Genomic DNA, 22175 nt, shown 5'->3' with positions numbered 1-22175 from the left:
GGGTGTAGCAAGGGCAGCTTCCGGGAAGGGCGGAGCCGCTTCCTCCGCTGGCGGCTACCCGGAGTACCCGCGCACCCTACAGTCCTCACTGCCGCGGATCCCCCACTTGAGGAGCCCGCCCTCCCCGCGACCTGGACCGCCCCAAGCTGTCGCAGACCCGTCTTAAACACAGGCAAGTTTAACCCGGGACACCGCAGGAGCCGCCACGTGCCTGCCCTCGCGGGTACCCTGCCCCGAGTCCACCCATCCTCCCCACAGCTGAAGACAGGCCTGGTTTCCTCCAACGAGCAGCACAATCCTTGCAAAGCACAGTTTCCAATGGTGTAGGTGCCTATTTGGGAAAAGAGGTTGGAAAAGAGCAGGCTGCAGCCGCTGGACCTGGCTACCGACTGGCCAGCAACTCCCAGACAGCAGCATTACTTTATGTATGTATGTATGCATTTCCAAGTCAAAGACCCAACACGACCCTGCTGATTCGCTTTTAAACCTCAGGGAAAGTGACTGGCTGGCATCTGGGTACACTAGAACCTCACCTCCTAAATTTGTTAGGTATCTTGCAATGCGGCCACTGAGATGGAGAGAGGCTGGGAGCTGGACGAACGGCCATCTCTCCTTCCATCTTGGCCTCGGCTCTAAGAACCTAAATCCCTGACTGGGATGCGTGCGGAGTTCAATCCAGTATCGCCTGGCGGTGCTCCCCGGAGGCGCCTGCGGGAAAATTCAGCTTTCCCTCTCCACGACAGGAGGCGCTGTTTTCGTGGAAATCCCCCGGCTGCGAACCTGGGATCCCTGACCTGGATCAAGTCTCCGAAGCTGGCAGAGTCCATTCTGCATCACCGGTCTTGGGCTTTGAAGAAGCCTAGGAGAAATTCCGCTTCGGCCATCACGCTATGAAAAGTGGATTTTTTTTTCTTAAGTCAATTTTTTTTTTTTGAAAATATGAGACTTAGTAGGTTTGGGAAGTGGGCTAAAAGAACATTTGATATTGTAATTGACCCCCCCTTTAAGGTGACAGTGTTTTTCCCCTACTTAAAGCGCCAACTTTTTTGTGCACTATAAAAGCTATTACTATCCATAAATTGTTACTCTCGGTAGAAAATAACCTAGTCTTGCTCGGTGTTATTGAAGAGCCAAGAGGGTATTGGAGAATCACCTCCAGAAGGAACAAGGAAGCTCATTAGCACTGAAAGTCCCCCGGATCAGGCCCAGGAAGCTAAGCATCCGTATACTTTACAAATGGAACTAAAGTCAGCTACTAATGGGAACTTTGCACAAAAGAATTAGTTTCTGACACACAATTCGCAGATACATTTACACAAACTGATGGGACAACTTGCAGTCACAGGAGCAGGCTGCATTAGGGAGGGTTCCTGCCCTACTGAGTTCCAGGTGGATTTAATTTCACTCATTCCTTTCCTTATGATGTGACGTTTCTACCCCCCCACCCTTTTTGTAAAAAAAAAAAAAAAAAATGTAATCCAATGCTTTTATCTTTTTTTATTTCCTTAACTGCACATCTTCACCCTCTCTGCTCCCCTGCTGACTTAAGAGATTTGTTTGGTTCAGGGATTTAAAGTGATTCTCTTGCCAGATTTCAAGTAAAAGAGATTTAAAAGAACAAAGCACAGGGAAAAAGGTATCTGTTTGGAAGACAAGTTAAAACACATTTCTTAAAATGAGATTAATAACATTTTAAAAACTTTGCAAAACAAGAAGATTTTGCGGATTCTTAATTACTTTAGATTTTATTTTATTGTTACTTAAGGAAACCTAGTGGTTCTACAGGCAGTACAACAAACACATGGTCACAGACACTCAGAAACACACACAGTCACACATGCTCAGAAATATACAAACGGTCACACACTCAAAACACACGCACCATCTCCCAATCTATCACCAACTAATTGCCTATCACCCGGTCACTTCAGTTGTTCTCTCTCCCAGGACAAGTGGGCAACCACCACCCAGGGCCTCATGAGAGTAAAGAGACTTTGCGTTGGGAAGACTCTCCCACCGACGTCCAGGACCGATTAGGAACCAAGCGAGCCCCTGAGATCTCAGCCCGGACCCTCCGGGTCACAGACAGGACCAAGCGCCGCTGCGGGCAGTCTCGGGCTTCTGCCTGGCATCTCTTTCGCAGTGCAGATGCGTTCCCGCGCCCAGGCCCTTGCTCTCCCAGCTAACGCGCGTGTTATGGGAGATGTCCCCTCCCCCTGACCTTTTCCTATCAGAAACCAGACGGTCGTCTCCAGCTCACTCCCTGAAGCGGCTGAAGGGGGGCGGGAGGAGGAGCCCGGCAGGGGGAGGACGGCCCGACTTGGGTCCGCCTGCCCTATCACACAGACATCTGCTCTCAGTTTCTTCCTCTTTGTGGTCGCTACAGATGACAAGGGGAGAGGAGCGGACCGAGGCGGAACAAAAAAAAAAAGTTATGTCATAAAGATATAAACCGGTGCTGTGACTCACCTGCTCTTAGCCGCAGGTACGAGTTTCGTGGCAGCGCCTCCGCTCTGCTAGCCCGGGGCCCGGGTCGGCCTAACGTCACTTGGCTCGGCTGACTCAGATGACCCGGTTTCTAGTGACGAAGCAAAAGTGGGGCTTTTTCCCTTTTCTAGTCTGAAGCTCTCAGGAGGAAAGAAAAAAAAAAGTCTGTATTCTCCAGTCTCCCGGGGTTGAACTTTGGGTCAGGAATCAGGAGGGAGGAAGCAAAGAGCAGGAGGGGCGCGAGACTGGGCCGCAGCCCGCGCTCGGAAGGTGGCGTGTACCTCTGGGGAGGGACCCCGGGGTCAGTTATCCCACAAGGTCTCTAAGCCCAGTCTCCGACGCCACCGCCCCCGGCCTTCTCCGGCTGCGAGGTTCCGATCCAGAGCCCTAGCCCGCCCGCCCGCCTGGCCCCGCCTATTTTTTCTTTTTCCAAAGGGGGTTACACCCCCTCCCTCCCCATTTCCCTCTTTCCCTAGCCTCCGGGCCTAAACCAATTACACTGCTTTGCAAACAAAGTGAGGGCCCCGCTTGGGGGAGGGGTCGCGGGGGAGGGGTCGCGCGCAGCGGTGAAGCGGCGGGGCGGGAGGCGCGGCGGCCGGACTGGCGGGCGGCCGCCTTGCAGGTGCACCTCGGGCTTTGTAGGTGCGAGCGTCTTTGTGCGGCGGACAAATGGGGAGAGGACGAGGAGGTGGGCACTCAAGCGACGTAAGATCCACATCAGCTCAACTGCACTTGCCTCGCAGAGGCAGCCCGCTCACTTCCCGCGGAGGCGCTCCCCGGCGCCGCGCTCCGCGGCAGCCGCCTGCCCCCGGCGCTGCCCCCGCCCGCCGCGCCGCCGCCGCCGCCGCGCACGCCGCGCCCCGCAGCTCTGGGCTTCCTCTTCGCCCGGGTGGCGTTGGGCCCGCGCGGGCGCTCGGGTGACTGCAGCTGCTCAGCTCCCCTCCCCCGCCCCGCGCCGCGCGGCCGCCCGTCGCTTCGCACAGGGCTGGATGGTTGTATTGGGCAGGGTGGCTCCAGGATGTTAGGAACTGTGAAGATGGAAGGGCATGAAACCAGCGACTGGAACAGCTACTACGCAGACACGCAGGAGGTGAGAGGCAAGGCGAGGCGGGCGGCCGGTGGGGCGCCGCTGGAGCCCGTGCCGGGGGAGGCCGGGGAGCGGTGGGCGCCAGGCAAGGCAGGCAGGCGGGCCGGGGGCGCCTTCTCGGTGCCACCGCTGCCCGCCCGCCGGTGTGGCCCCGGCCGGGCCTTGGCCGGGCCTGGAAGCGGGACCTGCTGCCCTGCTCTGTCCCGACTCTCGCAGCCGGAGAGGGAGTTTTAGGAAACTCCGGGCTTTGAAAACAGCGGCTCTAGGAAGCGCTTGCCTCTTCCCAGCAGCGAGCGGGAGCAGGAGCCGGGCCCGGGGTGCAGCGGGCGGGCGAGCGCCGGTGCGAGTTGGAAGCAACTCTGAGAAAGCCGGAGCATACCCACAAGGCGACCTCTTCGTCCCACCGTTTAATTCGCAGACGTCTTCTGATTAAAGCGCTCTGCCGCCAAGTTGGGTGTCTCAATAATGAAACGATTTCTAAATTTTGTAAAACTTGTTCTTCAAAAGCCCTATTTGGGGAGAAGTGTGCTCCTTCTCTAAAACCGCTGGGTGGCGCTAGTGCGACCAAAATCTTCTTCACAACTCTGGGCCGAGAACCTGTTTCTCTTCATTGTCCCCTTGGTGGCACGTTCATGGGGGTTATTTTTACAATGTGCACAAAAGGATTACAGGGAAAACCAGTTACAGGGAGGACTACCACCTATTAAAAGTATTTTTCTGGAAACAGCTGGCGATTACCCTCCAAAAGTTTAATTACCATTATTGAAAACGCGTATTGGAACTGCCTTGGATAATCTTGGGAAGAGGGAAAGAAAATAAAGCCCCAAGGTAAAAAATACTTTTAAGACGTGGACAGAAAAATATAGGATCACGTAATATTTTGATGGTAACTGACTTATTTAGATTTATGTATTCACAAGTTTACCTCTGAGTTTATTTGCATACCATAGTTTACTGGGTGTTCCTATTTAAATCTATTTGTTCTCATATTTTCAAATTGAGTCATACTTGCTGATTAAAATAAACTTAAGGACATCATTATTCCTTATTAAATTACCAGAGGAGTGCTTTTTAATATGCCTAGGTTTTGTATGTTTAAAATACTGTACCTAATGCATTCCCACATCGCTATTGATAAGGATTTTCGCTTGTTGATGATTTTAAAAGGAGCTCAGAGGTCTTCCAGAGATTTAATTCTGACGCAGTCATCTCGACCCCACCATTCAATTAAGACCCCTAGCGAAAGTACTTTCTTACATGTTAAAGCTGAGAATTAGGAAATACAATAGCATTAAGAGAAAATAAGTAGAATTTGATTTTCGAATTTTAAATTATTCAAGACTACTCACGGAATCTCAAAGCCAGGCGTTGAAATCATCGGCAGCAACATCAGCATGTGAAAAAAAAAAAAGATTTATTTTGACAAACTGTGTCACCAAATTTTTCAAACAGGGGACTGTAAAGTGGTGACAAAATTAATGCGAGTTTCTAAATAGCTTGCAAAGGTGTACATGTAAAGTCATGTTAAAATAAAATGCATATAGCACTTTGAGATTATTATAGCACCCCCTCCCAGCCCTTTCTGTTATGGATCTACTTTTAGTTTTATTTTTCCAAAACTTATTTAACTCTGAGTTTGCTTCCCTTTTAACATTACAGTTGCTACAAGCAGGTAGAAAACACTACTTCTAAATACAATAAACAACAAAAAGTCACCATAGGCAAAAACCCCTAGGACAATAAAGCCACTTGTTGGGAAACAGATGATTCAGGGGGTCCCATGTCCATAGGTGATTTGCTCTATCAACGATTTCCCCCCAAAGGGCGCTTTGCCGAGGCTGGTTGGGGTGGAGACTTGGGATACCGCCTGGCGTGGATGGAGGAGGCGATGAGGGGGCCCTGGAAGCCAGCCCCTGAGCCTGGCGTGTAAGGCGATTACACATCTTCCTGGGGTCATATTTTCTGTGAGCGTTTATCTTTCATGCCTGCCGCGCTAGGATTTTCCCCCTGCCGTGCAAGACATCTTTGCTCGGTCTGGGGAGGGCGCTTAGCCATTTGCCCCGGGTGGGGGCGTCCCGTGTTCTGCAAAGTGCTCTGCACTTGCCCCCGGGTTAGGTCCCGGACGGCCGCCCTCCAGTGCCCACCACTAACCCCGCCCTCCGGGGCTTCTTCACTCGCTGTCTCCACTCCAGGCCTACTCCTCCGTCCCGGTCAGCAACATGAACTCAGGCCTGGGCTCCATGAACTCCATGAACACCTACATGACCATGAACACCATGACTACGAGCGGCAACATGACCCCGGCGTCCTTCAACATGTCCTATGCCAACCCGGGCCTAGGGGCCGGCCTGAGTCCCGGCGCAGTAGCCGGCATGCCGGGGGGCTCGGCGGGCGCCATGAACAGCATGACTGCGGCCGGCGTGACGGCCATGGGTACGGCGCTGAGCCCGAGCGGCATGGGCGCCATGGGTGCGCAGCAGGCGGCCTCCATGAATGGCCTGGGCCCCTACGCGGCCGCCATGAACCCGTGCATGAGCCCCATGGCGTACGCGCCGTCCAACCTGGGCCGCAGCCGCGCGGGCGGCGGCGGCGACGCCAAGACGTTCAAGCGCAGCTACCCGCACGCCAAGCCGCCCTACTCGTACATCTCGCTCATCACCATGGCCATCCAGCAGGCGCCCAGCAAGATGCTCACGCTGAGCGAGATCTACCAGTGGATCATGGACCTCTTCCCCTATTACCGGCAGAACCAGCAGCGCTGGCAGAACTCCATCCGCCACTCGCTGTCCTTCAATGACTGCTTCGTCAAGGTGGCACGCTCCCCGGACAAGCCGGGCAAGGGCTCCTACTGGACGCTGCACCCGGACTCCGGCAACATGTTCGAGAACGGCTGCTACTTGCGCCGCCAGAAGCGCTTCAAGTGCGAGAAGCAGCCGGGGGCCGGCGGCGGGGGCGGGAGCGGAAGCGGGGGCAGCGGCGCCAAGGGCGGCCCTGAGAGCCGCAAGGACCCCTCTGGCGCCTCTAACCCCAGCGCCGACTCGCCCCTCCATCGGGGTGTGCACGGGAAGACCGGCCAGCTAGAGGGCGCGCCGGCCCCCGGGCCCGCCGCCAGCCCCCAGACTCTGGACCACAGTGGGGCGACGGCGACAGGGGGCGCCTCGGAGTTGAAGACTCCAGCCTCCTCAACTGCGCCCCCCATAAGCTCCGGGCCCGGGGCGCTGGCCTCTGTGCCCGCCTCTCACCCGGCACACGGCTTGGCACCCCACGAGTCCCAGCTGCACCTGAAAGGGGACCCCCACTACTCCTTCAACCACCCGTTCTCCATCAACAACCTCATGTCCTCCTCGGAGCAGCAGCATAAGCTGGACTTCAAGGCATACGAACAGGCACTGCAATACTCGCCTTACGGCTCTACGTTGCCCGCCAGCCTGCCTCTAGGCAGCGCCTCGGTGACCACCAGGAGCCCCATCGAGCCCTCAGCCCTGGAGCCGGCGTACTACCAAGGTGTGTATTCCAGACCCGTCCTAAACACTTCCTAGCTCCCGGGACTGGGGGGTTTGTCTGGCATAGCCATGCTGGTAGCAAGAGAGAAAAAATCAACAGCAAACAAAACCACACAAACCAAACCGTCAACAGCATAATAAAATCCCAACAACTATTTTTATTTCATTTTTCATGCACAACCTTTCCCCCAGTGCAAAAGACTGTTACTTTATTATTGTATTCAAAATTCATTGTGTATATTACTACAAAGACAACCCCAAACCAATTTTTTTCCTGCGAAGTTTAATGATCCACAAGTGTATATATGAAATTCTCCTCCTTCCTTGCCCCCCTCTCTTTCTTCCCTCTTTCCCCTCCAGACATTCTAGTTTGTGGAGGGTTATTTAAAAAAACAAAAAAGGAAGATGGTCAAGTTTGTAAAATATTTGTTTGTGCTTTTTCCCCCTCCTTACCTGACCCCCTACGAGTTTACAGGTCTGTGGCAATACTCTTAACCATAAGAATTGAAATGGTGAAGAAACAAGTATACACTAGAGGCTCTTAAAAGTATTGAAAGACAATACTGCTGTTATATAGCAAGACATAAACAGATTATAAACATCAGAGCCATTTGCTTCTCAGTTTACATTTCTGATACATGCAGATAGCAGATGTCTTTAAATGAAATACATGTATATTGTGTATGGACTTAATTATGCACATGCTCAGATGTGTAGACATCCTCCGTATATTTACATAACATATAGAGGTAATAGATAGGTGATATACATGATACATTCTCAAGAGTTGCTTGACCGAAAGTTACAAGGACCCCAACCCCTTTGTCCTCTCTACCCACAGATGGCCCTGGGAATCAATTCCTCAGGAATTGCCCTCAAGAACTCTGCTTCTTGCTTTGCAGAGTGCCATGGTCATGTCATTCTGAGGTCACATAACACATAAAATTAGTTTCTATGAGTGTATACCATTTAAAGAATTTTTTTTTCAGTAAAAGGGAATATTACAATGTTGGAGGAGAGATAAGTTATAGGGAGCTGGATTTCAAAACGTGGTCCAAGATTCAAAAATCCTATTGATAGTGGCCATTTTAATCATTGCCATCGTGTGCTTGTTTCATCCAGTGTTATGCACTTTCCACAGTTGGACATGGTGTTAGTATAGCCAGACGGGTTTCATTATTATTTCTCTTTGCTTTCTCAATGTTAATTTATTGCATGGTTTATTCTTTTTCTTTACAGCTGAAATTGCTTTAAATGATGGTTAAAATTACAAATTAAATTGTTAATTTTTATCAATGTGATTGTAATTAAAAATATTTTGATTTAAATAACAAAAATAATACCAGATTTTAAGCCGTGGAAAATGTTCTTGATCATTTGCAGTTAAGGACTTTAAATAAATCAAATGTTAACAAAAGAGCATTTCTGTTATTTTTTTTCACTTAACTAAATCCGAAGTGAATATTTCTGAATACGATATTTTTCAAATTCTAGAACTGAATATAAATGACAAAAATGAAAATAAAATTGTTTTGTCTGTTGTTATAATGAATGTGTAGCTAGTAAAAAGGAGTGAAAGAAATTCAAGTAAAGTGTATAAGTTGATTTAATATTCCAAGAGTTGAGATTTTTAAGATTCTTTATTCCCAGTGATGTTTACTTCATTTTTTTTTTTTTTTTTGACACCGGCTTAAGCCTTCTGTGTTTCCTTTGAGCCTTTTCACTACAAAATCAAATATTAATTTAACTACCTTTCCTCCTTCCCCAATGTATCACTTTTCTTTATCTGAGAATTCTTCCAATGAAAATAAAATATCAGCTGTGGCTGATAGAATTAAGTTGTGTCCAACGGAGACTCATGAACTCTCTTCTCATTAAAAGAGAAACGAAACTTAGCCATCAGGGTAGCTCTGGAGGAGGTGGGAGGAGGGGAGTTAATTCACTCTCGCAGGGGAAGCGTTGTACCGACAGGACATTTTAGGGTAGCCGCTATTTTGCATTTTGTGAAGATTGTTTTAAATTTTGATTCAAAAATGTCGTTCCTAAGAACTTAAAGTTGATAATTTGTTTCCTTCTAAGGAGCTTTTAAATGCAACTTCACACTCCATAGTTGCTTGGGATCACAAAATCATTAATCTCCTTTGATAGCAGGCTCACTTTCCAGTCCACCTATTTCTTTGTAAGTCTTGTTCGGATTGACATCAACAATAACAACACCAGCTCAAGCAGAGGCCTGCCTGCCTGAGCCCTTGTGTATGAACTCCATCCTCACCAGGGCTTGAACTTGGACAGCCTTTACTTTGATCGCCCCACTCCACACCGCGGACAAGATAAAAAGAGCCGTGTGAGTCGCTTAATTATCGCGTAATTGCCTCCCCAGATGAGAGAAAGGGTGCCATGTAGCACTTGAAAAAATCCAGAAATCCCAAACCCCCACTCACTTCAGTTAATGAAAGGAGGAGGGGAGGGAAATTACTGGTTTGAATAATTTCAAACCCTAATTTGGAGACCTCGGAAGGACATCAAAGTCCCAAAGAGAGGAAAAAGCTTCCAATCCCAACAGTTACTCTTATTTACATAAGGTAAACAAATTCAGCTTCCAAATGTAATATAAAGGCGTGGGCTTGGGCCTCGGAATCCCGCCCCCACTGAATCTAAGATGTTTAACTTCTGTGCTGTCCTCTCTGTGATGTTCCCTTTCTCCTTTTCAACGTATTAGAAACATCAGCGCCTTGCCTTCACCCCACCAAGCTTAAGTTGGCCTTAGCTCTCGCTCTGTTACTTGCCGGAGACATTTTCTAGTTATGCGGGGGACGGGGGCACTTTGGAGACCTGCCTCGGGAGCTGGACCGCGGGGAGCCTGCAGGCCCAGCCCCTGCTTTGTGGGCTTCTCGCAGTTCTCAGACCGCACACTCCGCCACCTCTGGGTGATGCGACCTGCCACCCGCGCGTTAGGACGCGCGCGGGTTGGCGGCCAGGACAGCTGGTTGCCAGGGAAGGCGGACAGAGCAGGACAGCAAGCGTCTCGAGGTGACAAGTGCAGATAGTTCTTCATTGTTTGGGCATTTTCCCTTCCTAGCGAATAAATCTCCTGTTGAGCCCGGGACCTAAAAGTCAACAAAGAAGGCCAGCCGCCTCGTTACGGCTCCTGCGGCCCCGGCGGCCCGCGTTGCCGCGGCTGCTCCCGCTGCGTAATCCCTTCCTCGGAAACCCGGACACACAAACACCCGGGCGCCCGGGCTGGGGCGCCGCGCCCCTGGGTCAGGAAGAAAACATCTGTGGTTCCGAGGGAGTGCGGAGACCCTGCCTGAGGGCGCCGCCTTCCTGCGACCCCCACCCCATCCCCTTTTCGTCTGGGTGTTTCCACATTTCTTCACCTCGCCAGCTCCCGAAGACCAGGGCCGGAAAGGGGCTGCTGACCGTCCCGCCGCGGTGCTCCTGCTCGCTGGTCTTAGGAATTTCGCCCGAGATGGGGGAGGGGTCCCCGGGGAGGGGAGGGAGGGGGCGAAGAGGGGCGAGGAGGGAAAGCCTTCCTCCTGACCCAAGTGTACAGCTCCGGTGGCGCTCGGACCCACCAACGCTACCGAGCAAACATTTTTACAAAAAAGAAAAAAACAAATGTTTTGGGAGTGAGCATAGGACAGGGGAGGGGAGCTGCAATTGTTACTCTCACCTTGCATTTAGGAAGGGCAGGTATGAAACATTTTTAAGGTGACAAAAACAGAACCAAAGATAGGGAAGAAGAAAAGCTCACCAGTTCTATTCAGCAAAAACTAAACAACTCACAGGTGTTCGGAAGTAGAAGGCAGTTCCGTCCATTTTCTACATGATGGCTAATACAGTGTTTACATCAAAGGCAAAATTTAATTTCCATTGTCCCTTTGTGATCCCCCTCATACAGGATAAACTGATGAGAATTATTAGGGAAGGAGGGATTAAAACAAACAAGATCCTAGTAAAGCTCCCAACCTCTGTTTTCATTTTCTGAAGGCTAGATACCTAATTGATTTCACTGAAAGCATAAAAACATTATATTTCTTAGAAGTCTAACAGATTTGAACGAGCCATAACAGAAAAGAAGTCCTGAAGTGATAAAAATGTAAGCCCTTGTTTTGGCATTTTAAAAAATTGGTCTCAATTCCACAAACATGCTTAAGTTTCTTTGCAAAAAACTGCCGAGATCAATACAAATTCCTTCCAATGCTGGCCAAAGTAGAAGACCTGTCACCCAAATTAATTAACCTTTCCTCAAGATCAATTGGTTTTCTGTTGATTTAGCAGTAATATTGTAGAACATTTAGCTATAATGTATTTTAATGTGATCCCTCAATGTCAACAGGAAAAAATTCGTTGAAAAATAAAATAGCTTAAATAAGTTAGTAGACATTTTATACCTTTGTAGGAAATATTTTGCCTTCAAAAATTAAATACCAATTGTTTATTTGAATTGTAATAAAGTGTGTTTTGCAACTAAATGGAGTTAAGAGCATGCCTAATTACTCCAAGATAGTTATATGCAAAAAGATGATTGTTTTAAAGATATCTAGAACTAAATAGGTAATCAAATTATGCTGAAATTTAAAAACAAAATTTTCTCAAACTGAAAGAATCGTTAGAATCAATAGATTCTCATGAGAGTAAGAATGTAAGAAAATGAAATGAAAAAAACATGAATATTTCACAATCTTCCTGTTTATAAATAGAATTGATTTGGAAAGGTAAAGCGTTTCTTAAAGTAGCCACTTACACAAGTTTTATTTTCATGCACGATGTTAGTGTATCCAAATAACATTTAACAACAGATTACCTTAAATCTTGTGTTTTTTCTTCCAAATAGCTAAGTTTGGGGGCATAATAATTCCATTGGTTTTTCTTTTAGCCCCAGCCCAGCATGGTTCTTTGAACTTTGGCCAGCTAGGACTGCAGCCCTCACCTTTTTGTTCTCCACCATCATTTTACCAAGCAATCTGGGGCTGGAAAATACCCATGCCATTCAATTTTAACTTGTAAAATGCATGAATTTTCCTGTTATAAACATTTTAAAACACCTGACAAGGGGGAAATCCTCACTTGCCACCTTTCTTTTTCTATTTAACTTCCTTATTTCTCCAATTATGTTAGCTGTGACTACAGTGTAAGAGCAAAGCACATGGTGAGAGTGAGCACTCCTCCCCCTTGCAGTCCCGGGAAATAAGGAGCCCTCCTTTTTCTGGGTGCCACTCCGTGATCTTTTGGGGTTCTCTATGTTCCAGTCAACCTAAAGGACAGAGGCAAGATATTCTCCCTCAAAATCCAGGAAGGAAAGGGCTTAAGTAGAATCGTGCTCGAATACATCAGAATCCAGGTGGAATGCGGGTCAAGTCACTGGCGAAATCAAGAACCAGGCCAGTGACACCAACGGCAGGCCTGACTCAGAATTTAAGTGTGAGGTTGCCTTGGTTTAACTTTTTACGTCTCTCAACTCCCCTTCAAGATTACACATCAGGGGCTTTTTCTTTTCTCTTTATTTAATTTCTGAAACCAAGGAAAAAAACAACCTGGAAATTCCCCCCAAAGCATTGCTATTGCCTGCAAATTGGGAACAATGAATTAAATTGGAAACCTCCTTAGCCAATCCCCCCGCCCCCCCCCCCAACACACACACACTTTTAAAAAGGAGTACATTTGTTATTCTTTTGCTTGCCTGCTCATATCCCGGGTCAGTTTTCTGGTTTCTCTCTCTTACGCCAAAGATTGTTTTAAAACACAAACAATTTAATGAAAAGACTTTAAGGAGCTCTGCGGCGGTTTGTATCCTTTGTATATTTAATTTTAAGGGCCCATTATGCACCAGGGAGGAAGTAGGCGCCCTCCTAGTCCCGTGCTCCTGGAAAGCGGAATTTCTTTGCATGATTCAGGTGACTAGGATATTATTGGAACGTTCCCCTAGCTCTGGGTCCCACTTGGGGGCTTTGTGCTTCACTACCGCAGTCCAGCTATACACCCGTAACCCAACAGCGGCTCAACCCTGGGCGCCAACTACCGCTGCGTCCTCCGCCGCTTTTCGCAGGTGGAGGCCGATTCATGAGCTCAAGCCGCAATGAGCCGTATTGTAGCGCAGGGCCTCGTCCAGGTTTCCTCGCCTCTCCCAGGAGTCACACCGCCTTCTGCTGACACGCGCTTCCTTTGTGTCATGCCTGGCTAATATATTAATGGGGCGGATAACCCGGATCCTTAGCGGAGGGGAGGAGGGGGTTGGAGATGGGGAGGGCAGGGAAGGGAACCGAACAGCTCTGGTTGCTGACCCTTGGGCCAAAGAGCCCTGGGGCGGACCAGGAGTGGGGGAGCGAATCGAGGTGGGGAAAGTTCACATTGGGGGCACTGAAAGTAAACTTAAATGCCTGAAACAAGTTTTAGAAAAGGTGACCTGATGCTAATGCTCGGTCCTGGGCACAAACTGCGCAGCCAGACGCCGCGGACGCCGGAGAAACTGCCCCTCTGGCGGAGCGGGCCGCGCTCCTGCAGCGAAGTGTCCGCCCCCACTACCCCACCCCGGGCCGAGAGCTCCGCCGCGCTGCGCTATGTGCGGAGTCACGGGTGAAAAGTCCTAACTACGTGTCGCACGAAGGCCTCTTGACGAGTGCACACCTTCACGGACTCAGACTCATTAATCTCTAGCTGAGCCAGTTACCTTAGATGCTGGGTTCCAGTGCTTAAAAATAAAGACCAGCCCGCTCCTTGCCCTCAAGGAGAAGCCAGCTTTTCCCACCCTCACCCCCAAAGAATTGTGCGGCCTCCCAGTCGGACTCATCAGCCACACAGGTGGATCTCCTGCGCTACGCCAGGTGGGCGGGAGGAACGGCAGATCCCTGGCCGGAGGCCTGAAGCCCAAAGGTCCCCGCCGCCGGGTGCCGGCCTCATTCCAGCCCCGGCCTCCCGGGCGGAACCCCCTCCCCACCGGGCCCTGGGCCCCACCCGCCAGACGGTGCCCGGGTGCCCCGAGACATATGCTGCCCGCAGGCCGCGCGGCCCGACGGAGTGCTCACTGCCGAGGCGGTTCTCAGCCCATCAAAAGCCCAGGCTTTCTTCAGCCGTATGGGCCGCGAGGTGAACAACAATGCCCGGGCCCCTTCACTTCAAAAGCAGCGATCAGGGGAAAGGCTCCCCCAGAGAATTTTTTTTTCCCCTCAGCCTTTCATTCCTGGTTTGAAAAAAAAAAAAAAAAAGGCATCAGCAACTCCAGGCCCCGGGCGAGCCTAATGCCCTTTGATGGGGATTGAATTCATTATCTCCAATAACACAATTGTGCTTGGCCAACGAAAAGAGCAAAGCAGGGCTCTATCCCGCCGGAGGGGCCCGGCCGGGCGGGGCTGGCAGGCGAGCAGTGCTCCTGGGGACCCGCACACAGGCGCAGTCCTGGCCCGCCCGGCCCGCTGCGACGCCCCCTGGGCTCGGGGGGGCGCGGGCACGCCCGAGGCTGCAGGACCAGTGGCGCCGCCCGCCAGGACCGGGCGAGGAGGGGCGGGACGGCTCTCTTGTCTGATTTATTTTTCGTTTCTCCCTTCGCAACCATCCCCCGAGGGCTGCCCCCGCAGAATGGGTATTTACTCTCCTCCCTCCCGGCCTCCAGCTGGGAAGCCATCCCTGGTGCCCGGGGCGCGCTGGGCAGAAGGGCCGCCCTGCGCCCCTGGCTGAGCACGCAGGGCTCTCAGCATCCCGGCCGCGCCGCCCAACCCCGGCGCGGAGCTGGCTGTACCCGCAACCTGGCAAGGAAAAACTGGGCCCCCTCTCGCTTCCACGCCAGCCATTGCGGAAAAGCGCCCCAGGAACCTGGGCGGGGACCGCGGGACACCAGGTCCCGCCCCCGGGTGCAGGGATCTGGACGCGGGGCTTGATGCCTGGTCCCCTCGGCTTCCGGGCCTGTGGACACTGCCTGGGACCGCCACCTGACACGAATGTCGCCTCCTCCCGGGTTTCACCGCCATCCCTGCCCTTTCAGCCACCTCCAGCCCCCGCCTTCTCTGCCCTCTTGATTGTACGGAGGTGGAGGTGAAAACCCACTAAGACACTGCGGGTCTTGACCTCGTGTGTGTGTGTGTGTGTGTGTGTGTGTGTGTGTGTGTGAGAGAGAGAGAGAGAGACAGAGAGAGAGAGAGAGAGAGAGAGGAGAGGGGGGAGAGGGAGAGAGAGAGAAGAGGGAAAGAGAGAGATTATATTTTGAATTTCTCAGACTCATGATCAAAGAAGACTTCATAGCCTGTTGTCTTATTAAATTGCAGTTCAAGGCATTACTGAGATGCTTCCTACACAACCTTACTCCCCCTCTTCACCCCCATTACTGGGGAAAGTTCGGACTGAAGTTTTATTTCAGTCAGATAAATAATAATAATAATAACAATTTAAAGTACTTTAAACAAACAGAAGACTTATTGAAATGCTCTGCGGTAGTAACTGTGGATTGGTCGTTCCTCACTAATGAGTCATGACTATCCCAACCTCCAAGCAATGGACTCTTCACCTTTCTCTTCAGAGAATTAGAGCCAGCACACACATGCTGTAGGAGGTATATAGACAGGTAGATAGCTATATATATATATTCACACAAATTGATATAGCGACTTAGAGGAGCATCCACAAGAACTTCCTATCTATACAACTGTCCTGAAAGCAAGGAAGCAAGAAATTGAGTAATATGCTGATTTGAGGTCAACCGAGAGAAGTGTTTCAGATTTGACTTTCAGAGAGGCATTATTTTCATCAGGAGATACAGGGATTAATTATTTAATTCTCTTCAGCATAGAGTAACCTTTACAAATTTAACCCATTGACTCTGACTACAACCTTCAATGTTTAGGCCTCAGCACTGGGGGTTCCTCTCCAGTACGTAAGATTAAAAGACTTCAGTTCTTGGCTCCAGGCTTTCTTTCTTCCCCTTTGTCTTATAGAGCAGCATCCTGAATGTAATTTATATTAAAATATATATTGACTTTTGTGAAGTCTTTTTAGTTTTCATTTACCTCAGAAAGGATGTAAAACATTTACCTTGCAGATATTTTGAGTGTCTAATAAAGAAGTGTATGGGAAATTCTATTCTTTAGATGAGTTTTAAACTCTGGATTCTACAGGTTGTCAAAAAATGAATGAATTCTCTTTTGGACCCTTAGCCTATTTTTTATTAACTTATTAAAAATAGGTTTGAATCTTGGTGGCTGGTTCATTTACATTGTGGTGACTTACTTCAGTCACCTTTTATAAAATCTCTTTTGCAACATCAAGTGGAGGTTTAATCTTTGTCTTGAATTGTGCCACACATATCCCACACCTGGTGGACTGCTGCGCTTCCTTTGCATATTCATTGTCACATGCTTAGAAATACTGGGAAGAGAAAGATGTTTATACAGGGTAAAGATGAATTAGATTTTACATATTAACAATTTGAATAAGAGTTTAACATAATATGTATAATCAGAATAAGTTATATGTAGGTATAGCTATTTAAGAATTAATTTTTATGATATTTTGAGGACTTCAGAGGACTCAGGACCCAGGGTAAGAACTATTCCCTGCATAACAATATGTTCAAAACAACCACCACAAAAGCTTTAGTTCTGACATATAGTCTACCTGACCACAGAAGATAGAGGACAGGCCTGTGTTTTATCACATAAACAATTTATCTAGTGTCTGAGCACACATAAAGGATTATGTGGCTTCAGGTGAGCAGGGCCCCATAGGATGGATGAATTACTAAACAAAAGATACTATTATTTTCATGTAGATGTCTTAGGCCATGGAACAGAATTAGGAAGGAAGAAGAGGTGAAGCATTTCAACAGAAATGAAAATTCAGTATTCTCTAAAGTGCAACCCCAATGCCCATTTCAGCCTTGAATCATGAATCATGAAGCCACGGAAAATGGTGATGGAAAAGACTCTTTATGTCTTCTAGTTCACTCATCTTAAAGATTATTCTCCTCAGAATATTCCCAAGCCATGGTTTGAATAGATTTAAATGTCAAGAATTGAAGGACTCCCTTCCACTTCCTGAGTTTCTTGGAGAAATTATATTCATGGTGCAAAACATTTTGCCAACTGAGTATTTTCTTGGTTATTTATTAAGGTAAAATTGTCTTGCATTTTAAATATGCCTCTTTGAGGATCCATTTTTATTAGCTCTCAAACCTGTTTCAGATACCTGAATGCTTGTCTCTTCATTTATTCAGCCAGTCTATACACACTTACTTTATTTAGTTCCTACATAAGATTGATCCAAATAAAGTGCCCAGGTGGGAAACTTCCTTTAATATGTATTAAGCATTTGATTTTCTATTCTTAATACTGAGAGGGAAATAATAAATTTAAATCTCCAAATTCCTTTGAATGATACCAGCATTATAAATGTGAGACTTGATCCATTTGTGAGATGTCACCCAAATGCTAAGTCATGAAGCCTCTTTGCCTTTTAAGTATAATTTATGATAAGACATTACAGGACCTCAACTTCTTAAAATATGGTAAATTCTTAAATTAAAAGAAAGAAAAACTAGAAACCAATTGGGAGTTGGTTCATTGAGAATACTGTTCTTACTGGAGAGATTTCAGAGTGTTTGTTCCTTGTGACCCAGAGGTTTACATGTGTCCTATCAGGAATATATTATGTCAGAGTTTTCAACAGCAAATAGGCCAAGGCAGTTCATTATAAAACTTCCAAAGAGAAGTAAAACTTTTATATTTCAATTGCAGAGATTCAGAAGCTGGATCTGGAGCACTGCATTATGATTTGGCATCCTAGACTCAAAACCAGACTCTGGGCTCCCAATGCGCCAAAGGAGTAGCCCGCCCTCTGGACAGTGAAAAGCCAGGCCTAGGCTTAACCCTTGAGTCTGCACCTGTCTTTTACACTTCAGCATTTCCACTGAGTCAGGCAATTCGGAAGGAAATGCTCCTTTAGTTTGACAGATAATTCACTTTAGAAGTATAACCATAGCAAGAACAGACTGTGAGGTAAGCAGAGAGAGAGGAAATGAGAAATATTGAGAAATGATCTCCACTGCATTCCATTCACCTATCTCATCTTATAAAATAGAATAGGTGAACAAGGAGAATGGGAATTGTAAGCAAAATGAAAGACTGTAAGGTCTCTGATGAGTCAAAGAGTGACATTGAGAAGTTGTGTAATAATAGTATAATTTATATACATCCATTGAATACAAGATTGCACAGATATCAGCTTTCTTCCAGTTTGCTACGGGGTATTGAGAGGGGAAAGTTCTATCCAATTCTTGATGATTCATATGATATAGCAAGTGACAGTGTTGAGTTTTATTTAATTCCCTGTACAATGATTACTACCTTAAAATATCCAAAGAGCCTTCTTAAATAAAGTAAGGTCTGCTTTTTTTTTCAGGATTTGTAGTAAACACATATTTTAAAGTCTTATGTTCACTTACAGTTGTTACCAGGTGATGCTGTTTGTGGAATAACCTGAGATTTTAACACTAAGCACAAATTAACTTTCCCAGAGTATAACAGACTCCTTCCTATTTTCATCTTACCCTCAGCAACAGAAAGAGTAGTGTAGTAGCCAACGTTCAACCTGAAATATAAAAAAATGTAGAACATAGTAAGATTCTTCTCAACTATATGCAGACCCTTACAATTGAATTTATCATTAGGGATAATAAACAATGATTACCATGCTTTGAAATAACATTTTTAAGTGTTTTTAACTCAAGCGGGTAACTTGTTTTCAAGAGGAACAGAAAACAGAGATTCCCAAGGAAATATAAGTGACGAAAAGATGAGAGAAACGGAAGTACCATAGAAGCAGCAAAAGGTATTAGGTCATGTATAGACTCACAGCCCAGGGGACTGAGGGAGTGAGAGCTGGGACAGAGGCAAATTAATAGCTGGAGAGAGCTAGACAGAGTGTGCTGAGGAAGGGCCAGGCGTGAAAAGATTTGGTGTCGTCATAGCAACGGGCTCAGCCCTGCTCCCCCTGAAGCCCATTCAGCTCTGAGCTGCCGGAACACGTTTTTAATTAAAGCGTATAAAAGTTGTTTTGTAAGGACTTCTCATCCGATAGATTTCAAAATGGTTAATCAGGCTTCATCTCCTTTTGATGCTCACAAGAGCATGGGCTATAGCATGCACAGAAACTGCTGCTGCTGCTGCCGCTAAGTGAGTTATCTCTCAATCACACCTAATACCAGGAATGAGCAAGGCGTCTATTTATTTAGATACACAAAAACAGAGGATTCCAGTGGGAGTGGGGAGTCCATTTTTATGGAACTCAGTCTTCTGGATGGCCATGGTCCCTGGTTGATGTTCTATTTAACTTTTGAAAACAGCAAGATTTTTTTTTTCCTTTGAGAGACACAGTCCAAAAGCCAAAACAAAGGTTACCAATTATTTGTATCAATGAATATTTACCCTAGGATGGGTATTTCAAATAAGAGGTTTGTACCACTCCTATATAAAAAGATGGTAACCTGTCTCATTTTTTTTGAGAAAAAAAGAACTCCCACTCCTAAATCTTTCATAAATTCATGATATACAGCAACAGTTGCATTTAACTCTTTAATAAAATAGATGACTTAATAGAAAATGGCATCTTTTGTTGATTCACTTAACAGCCTCTTAGATGAGTTAAACTTTCTCCAGGCTTTTTCATCTCCCTTTCTCCCCAGTCTTGGCTGATGACCTTGTCTCTAACTTCACTGAAAAAGAAAAAAAAAGAAAAGAAAAAGAGAGAGAGAGATGATTTTACCTGTCATCTATTTCTTCATCTACCCTTATCCCAACTGAACATTTCTACTCCTATACCAGTGTATCCTCCATAAGGTCGTGGATGAGAAGGAGTCCTGCCTGCTCTCTGAAGCAAACATACCCACCAAACGATTTTATTGAACACCAACATCAGACAAGGCCACTCTGTAACCAGAGTGAAGTGAGACAAAACCAAGAACACTTTGTAATTTTGTCTAAGCACAGATGAAAACAAGATCACTATGTAAACTACAATTATAGCAAGCATCCCCTCATCCCAGCTAATAAGAATAACTGTTGCTTATTTACAAATTACAGCTGTAGCCAAAGTCCCACTATCTTGAACTCTCCACTGAATAACCTAACACAAGCCCCAATCCTATAATGTCATTTCTAACACCCTCTTAACTGAAATGCCACACAATTCTGCATGATGTGTAGTCTCCCTTATTTGCAACAAGTTACAAACCCAACTTATTCAACTATAGATATGCCTCTAATGGTCTGGTGTGAGAATATTGACAGGCCTTTCATTCCTTTGTTTCATGGCTTGAATTATCACACAGCAAACTAAAAGTTCACCCCTGCCCTTTGAACAAAACTCCCTTCTTATTTCTATACCGGTCTGCAAGGCATTTCCATGATTATTTAATATATTTAAATTAAAGAAACACATTTCTTTCAGTAACAGGGCATCCCTCCTGACTTTTATATTTCTCTCAAACTCTTAGTCACTCAGGCTCGAAAAGTCATAGTCATCATTGATTTGTCTCTCTTCTTGCTCATATATCTCCAATTGATTAATATGCCCTGTCAATAATTCCCATTCCCAATCTCTATTTTCTGGACATTACAGAGGTCACAATTTTAGTCCAGAATACTGTCCATTATCTGTTAAAATACCCTCCAGATGCTCTTTGGCCAATTCTTGTCTGTACATCATTTCTAGCCTAATGTTCCTGAACAACAAGCTTCCAGTGAGTGCAGTTAAGTTCTAACCTCTTGAGGCCAGAGTTTTCACAGAGGTAAAATTAGAAATTATATAGGAATAACTGGCATGCTTTTCCTCCCTTAGAAAAGATAATGTCATCTTAGGCTGCATACATGAAATGGGGAAAGCAAGAATGCACTGGTCAACACGGGTCATGTTTCATATGTTAGGACTTATTCTTTGAGAACTATAGGCCAGGCATGGTGGTGGCTTACACCCTTAATCCCAGCACTTTGGGAGGCTGAAGTGGGAGGATTGCTGGAGGCCAGGAGTTCAAGACCAGCCTGGAAAACAAAGTGAGACCCTGCCTCTATAAAATTTTTTATACAATTAGCTGGGCATGGTGGCATGTGCCTAGTCCCAGCTACTCAGAGGTTGAGGCAGGAGGATCACCGAGCCAGGAGTTGGAGGCTGCAGTAAGCTATGATCATACCACTGCACTTCAGCCTGGGTGACAAGAGAGACCCTGACTCAAAAGAAACACACACACACACACACACACACACAAAGGAAAAGAAAAAAGAAAAATAGAGAAACACAGAAAAAGCAAGACCTTTAGGAGATTGTGAATATAGATGAGAGCTAAATCATGCCTTGTGAAGGATGGTTTAGAATGGGGATGTTTGGCCACAGAATAAAATCTTTCTGTTACAGTTGAAGGATATTACAGTTATTTCAAGCATATGTGAGGGAGACTAGAACCATTTATTGTATGTGAGTATAGAGGGCAGAATTAGGGCCAGAGGGTAGAAATTAGAGACTTACAGATTACAGCTCATATGAAGACATCTGTAACATGGTTTTAGATTGAGTAGGTCACCTCAGGAAATACTGAGCTTCTCAACATTGAAGCTTCAAGTGTATATGAGATGACCACTTGGATATACATTTTCCTCAAACTTATGCTTTAGTTACTTAGCTCTAATCATTCAACTTTCAATTACAATAGATATGTTTGTTTTGAATAAAATGAACTTTTTATTTCATGTATTCTATTTTTAAAATGCAGTCAATGTTCATTTGCTTTATCCCACATATTTATCCTTCCTGGTATATTCATTCTTTCCTCTGTCAGTATGATCCATCTGTGACCACCTTTCTTTTGCCTACTCGACTTCCTTTAGGATTTCTTTTAGTGAAGTTCTGCTTGTGATATTCTTTCACTTTTTGCTGGGAATTTAATTCCAGGTTGTTGCTGTTGTTTTACTTTCAGCCCTTTAAAGATGCTACTTCATTTTTTCTGGCTTCTGTTTCTCTGAGAAGACAGACTTACTCCTACTCTTTTGAAAGCCATATGTCCTTTTATTCTCTTTGTTGTTTCTTTCTTGAGTCTCTAGTAGTCTCTAGTCGTTCCAACTTCT

At 46.6% G+C, this 22175-nt stretch overlaps 2 protein-coding genes across 10 annotated transcripts in view, besides 5 other annotated features; one reads left to right on the top strand and one right to left on the bottom strand.

Annotated features, from left to right (window-relative positions):
• The window catches only part of TTC6 (tetratricopeptide repeat domain 6), a 247089-nt gene extending 244240 nt beyond the window's left edge, over nt 1-2849 (bottom strand). For all 9 annotated transcript variants that reach the window (XR_007064009.1, XR_001750287.2, NM_001310135.5 and 6 more), the window contains exon 1: nt 2470-2849. The gene's annotated coding sequence lies outside the window, so the exon portion shown is untranslated. The remainder of the gene's footprint in view (nt 1-2469) is intronic.
• Nucleotides 1721-2920: an enhancer, noted in NCBI's record as "P300/CBP strongly-dependent group 1 enhancer chr14:38064763-38065962 (GRCh37/hg19 assembly coordinates)". NCBI's record gives its function as "activates an origin of replication core promoter dependent on BRD2, BRD4, P300/CBP, MED14 and CDK7 cofactors, with strong dependence on P300/CBP, by STARR-seq in HCT116 cells {active_cell/tissue: HCT116}" and the evidence as "EXISTENCE:reporter gene assay evidence [ECO:0000049][PMID:35650434]".
• Nucleotides 1721-3293: a biological region, named in NCBI's record as "P300/CBP strongly-dependent group 1 enhancer GRCh37_chr14:38064763-38065962".
• Nucleotides 2434-3293: an enhancer, noted in NCBI's record as "H3K4me1 hESC enhancer chr14:38064390-38065249 (GRCh37/hg19 assembly coordinates)". NCBI's record gives its function as "activates a minimal SCP1, AML or CMV promoter by ChIP-STARR-seq in naive H9 embryonic stem cells {active_cell/tissue: H9 hESC(naive)}" and the evidence as "EXISTENCE:reporter gene assay evidence [ECO:0000049][PMID:30033119]".
• On the top strand, nt 3229-8926 carry FOXA1 (forkhead box A1). Its single transcript, NM_004496.5, has 2 exons — nt 3229-3577; nt 5767-8926. Exons 1-2 carry the CDS (start codon nt 3506-3508, stop codon nt 7111-7113), a joined length of 1419 nt encoding a protein of 472 aa, NP_004487.2. The 5' UTR covers nt 3229-3505; the 3' UTR covers nt 7114-8926.
• Nucleotides 6726-7275: an enhancer, noted in NCBI's record as "H3K4me1 hESC enhancer chr14:38060408-38060957 (GRCh37/hg19 assembly coordinates)". NCBI's record gives its function as "activates a minimal SCP1, AML or CMV promoter by ChIP-STARR-seq in naive H9 embryonic stem cells {active_cell/tissue: H9 hESC(naive)}" and the evidence as "EXISTENCE:reporter gene assay evidence [ECO:0000049][PMID:30033119]".
• Nucleotides 9739-10579: an enhancer, noted in NCBI's record as "NANOG-H3K27ac-H3K4me1 hESC enhancer chr14:38057104-38057944 (GRCh37/hg19 assembly coordinates)". NCBI's record gives its function as "activates a minimal SCP1, AML or CMV promoter by ChIP-STARR-seq in naive and primed H9 embryonic stem cells {active_cell/tissue: H9 hESC(naive and primed)}" and the evidence as "EXISTENCE:reporter gene assay evidence [ECO:0000049][PMID:30033119]".

The sequence above is a fragment of the Homo sapiens genome, chromosome 14 (assembly GCF_000001405.40).
Source record: "Homo sapiens chromosome 14, GRCh38.p14 Primary Assembly".
NCBI lineage: Eukaryota > Metazoa > Chordata > Mammalia > Primates > Hominidae > Homo > Homo sapiens.
The sequence above is the reverse complement of the archived record's forward strand: the minus strand, read 5'-3'. Positions and strand labels throughout refer to the sequence as shown.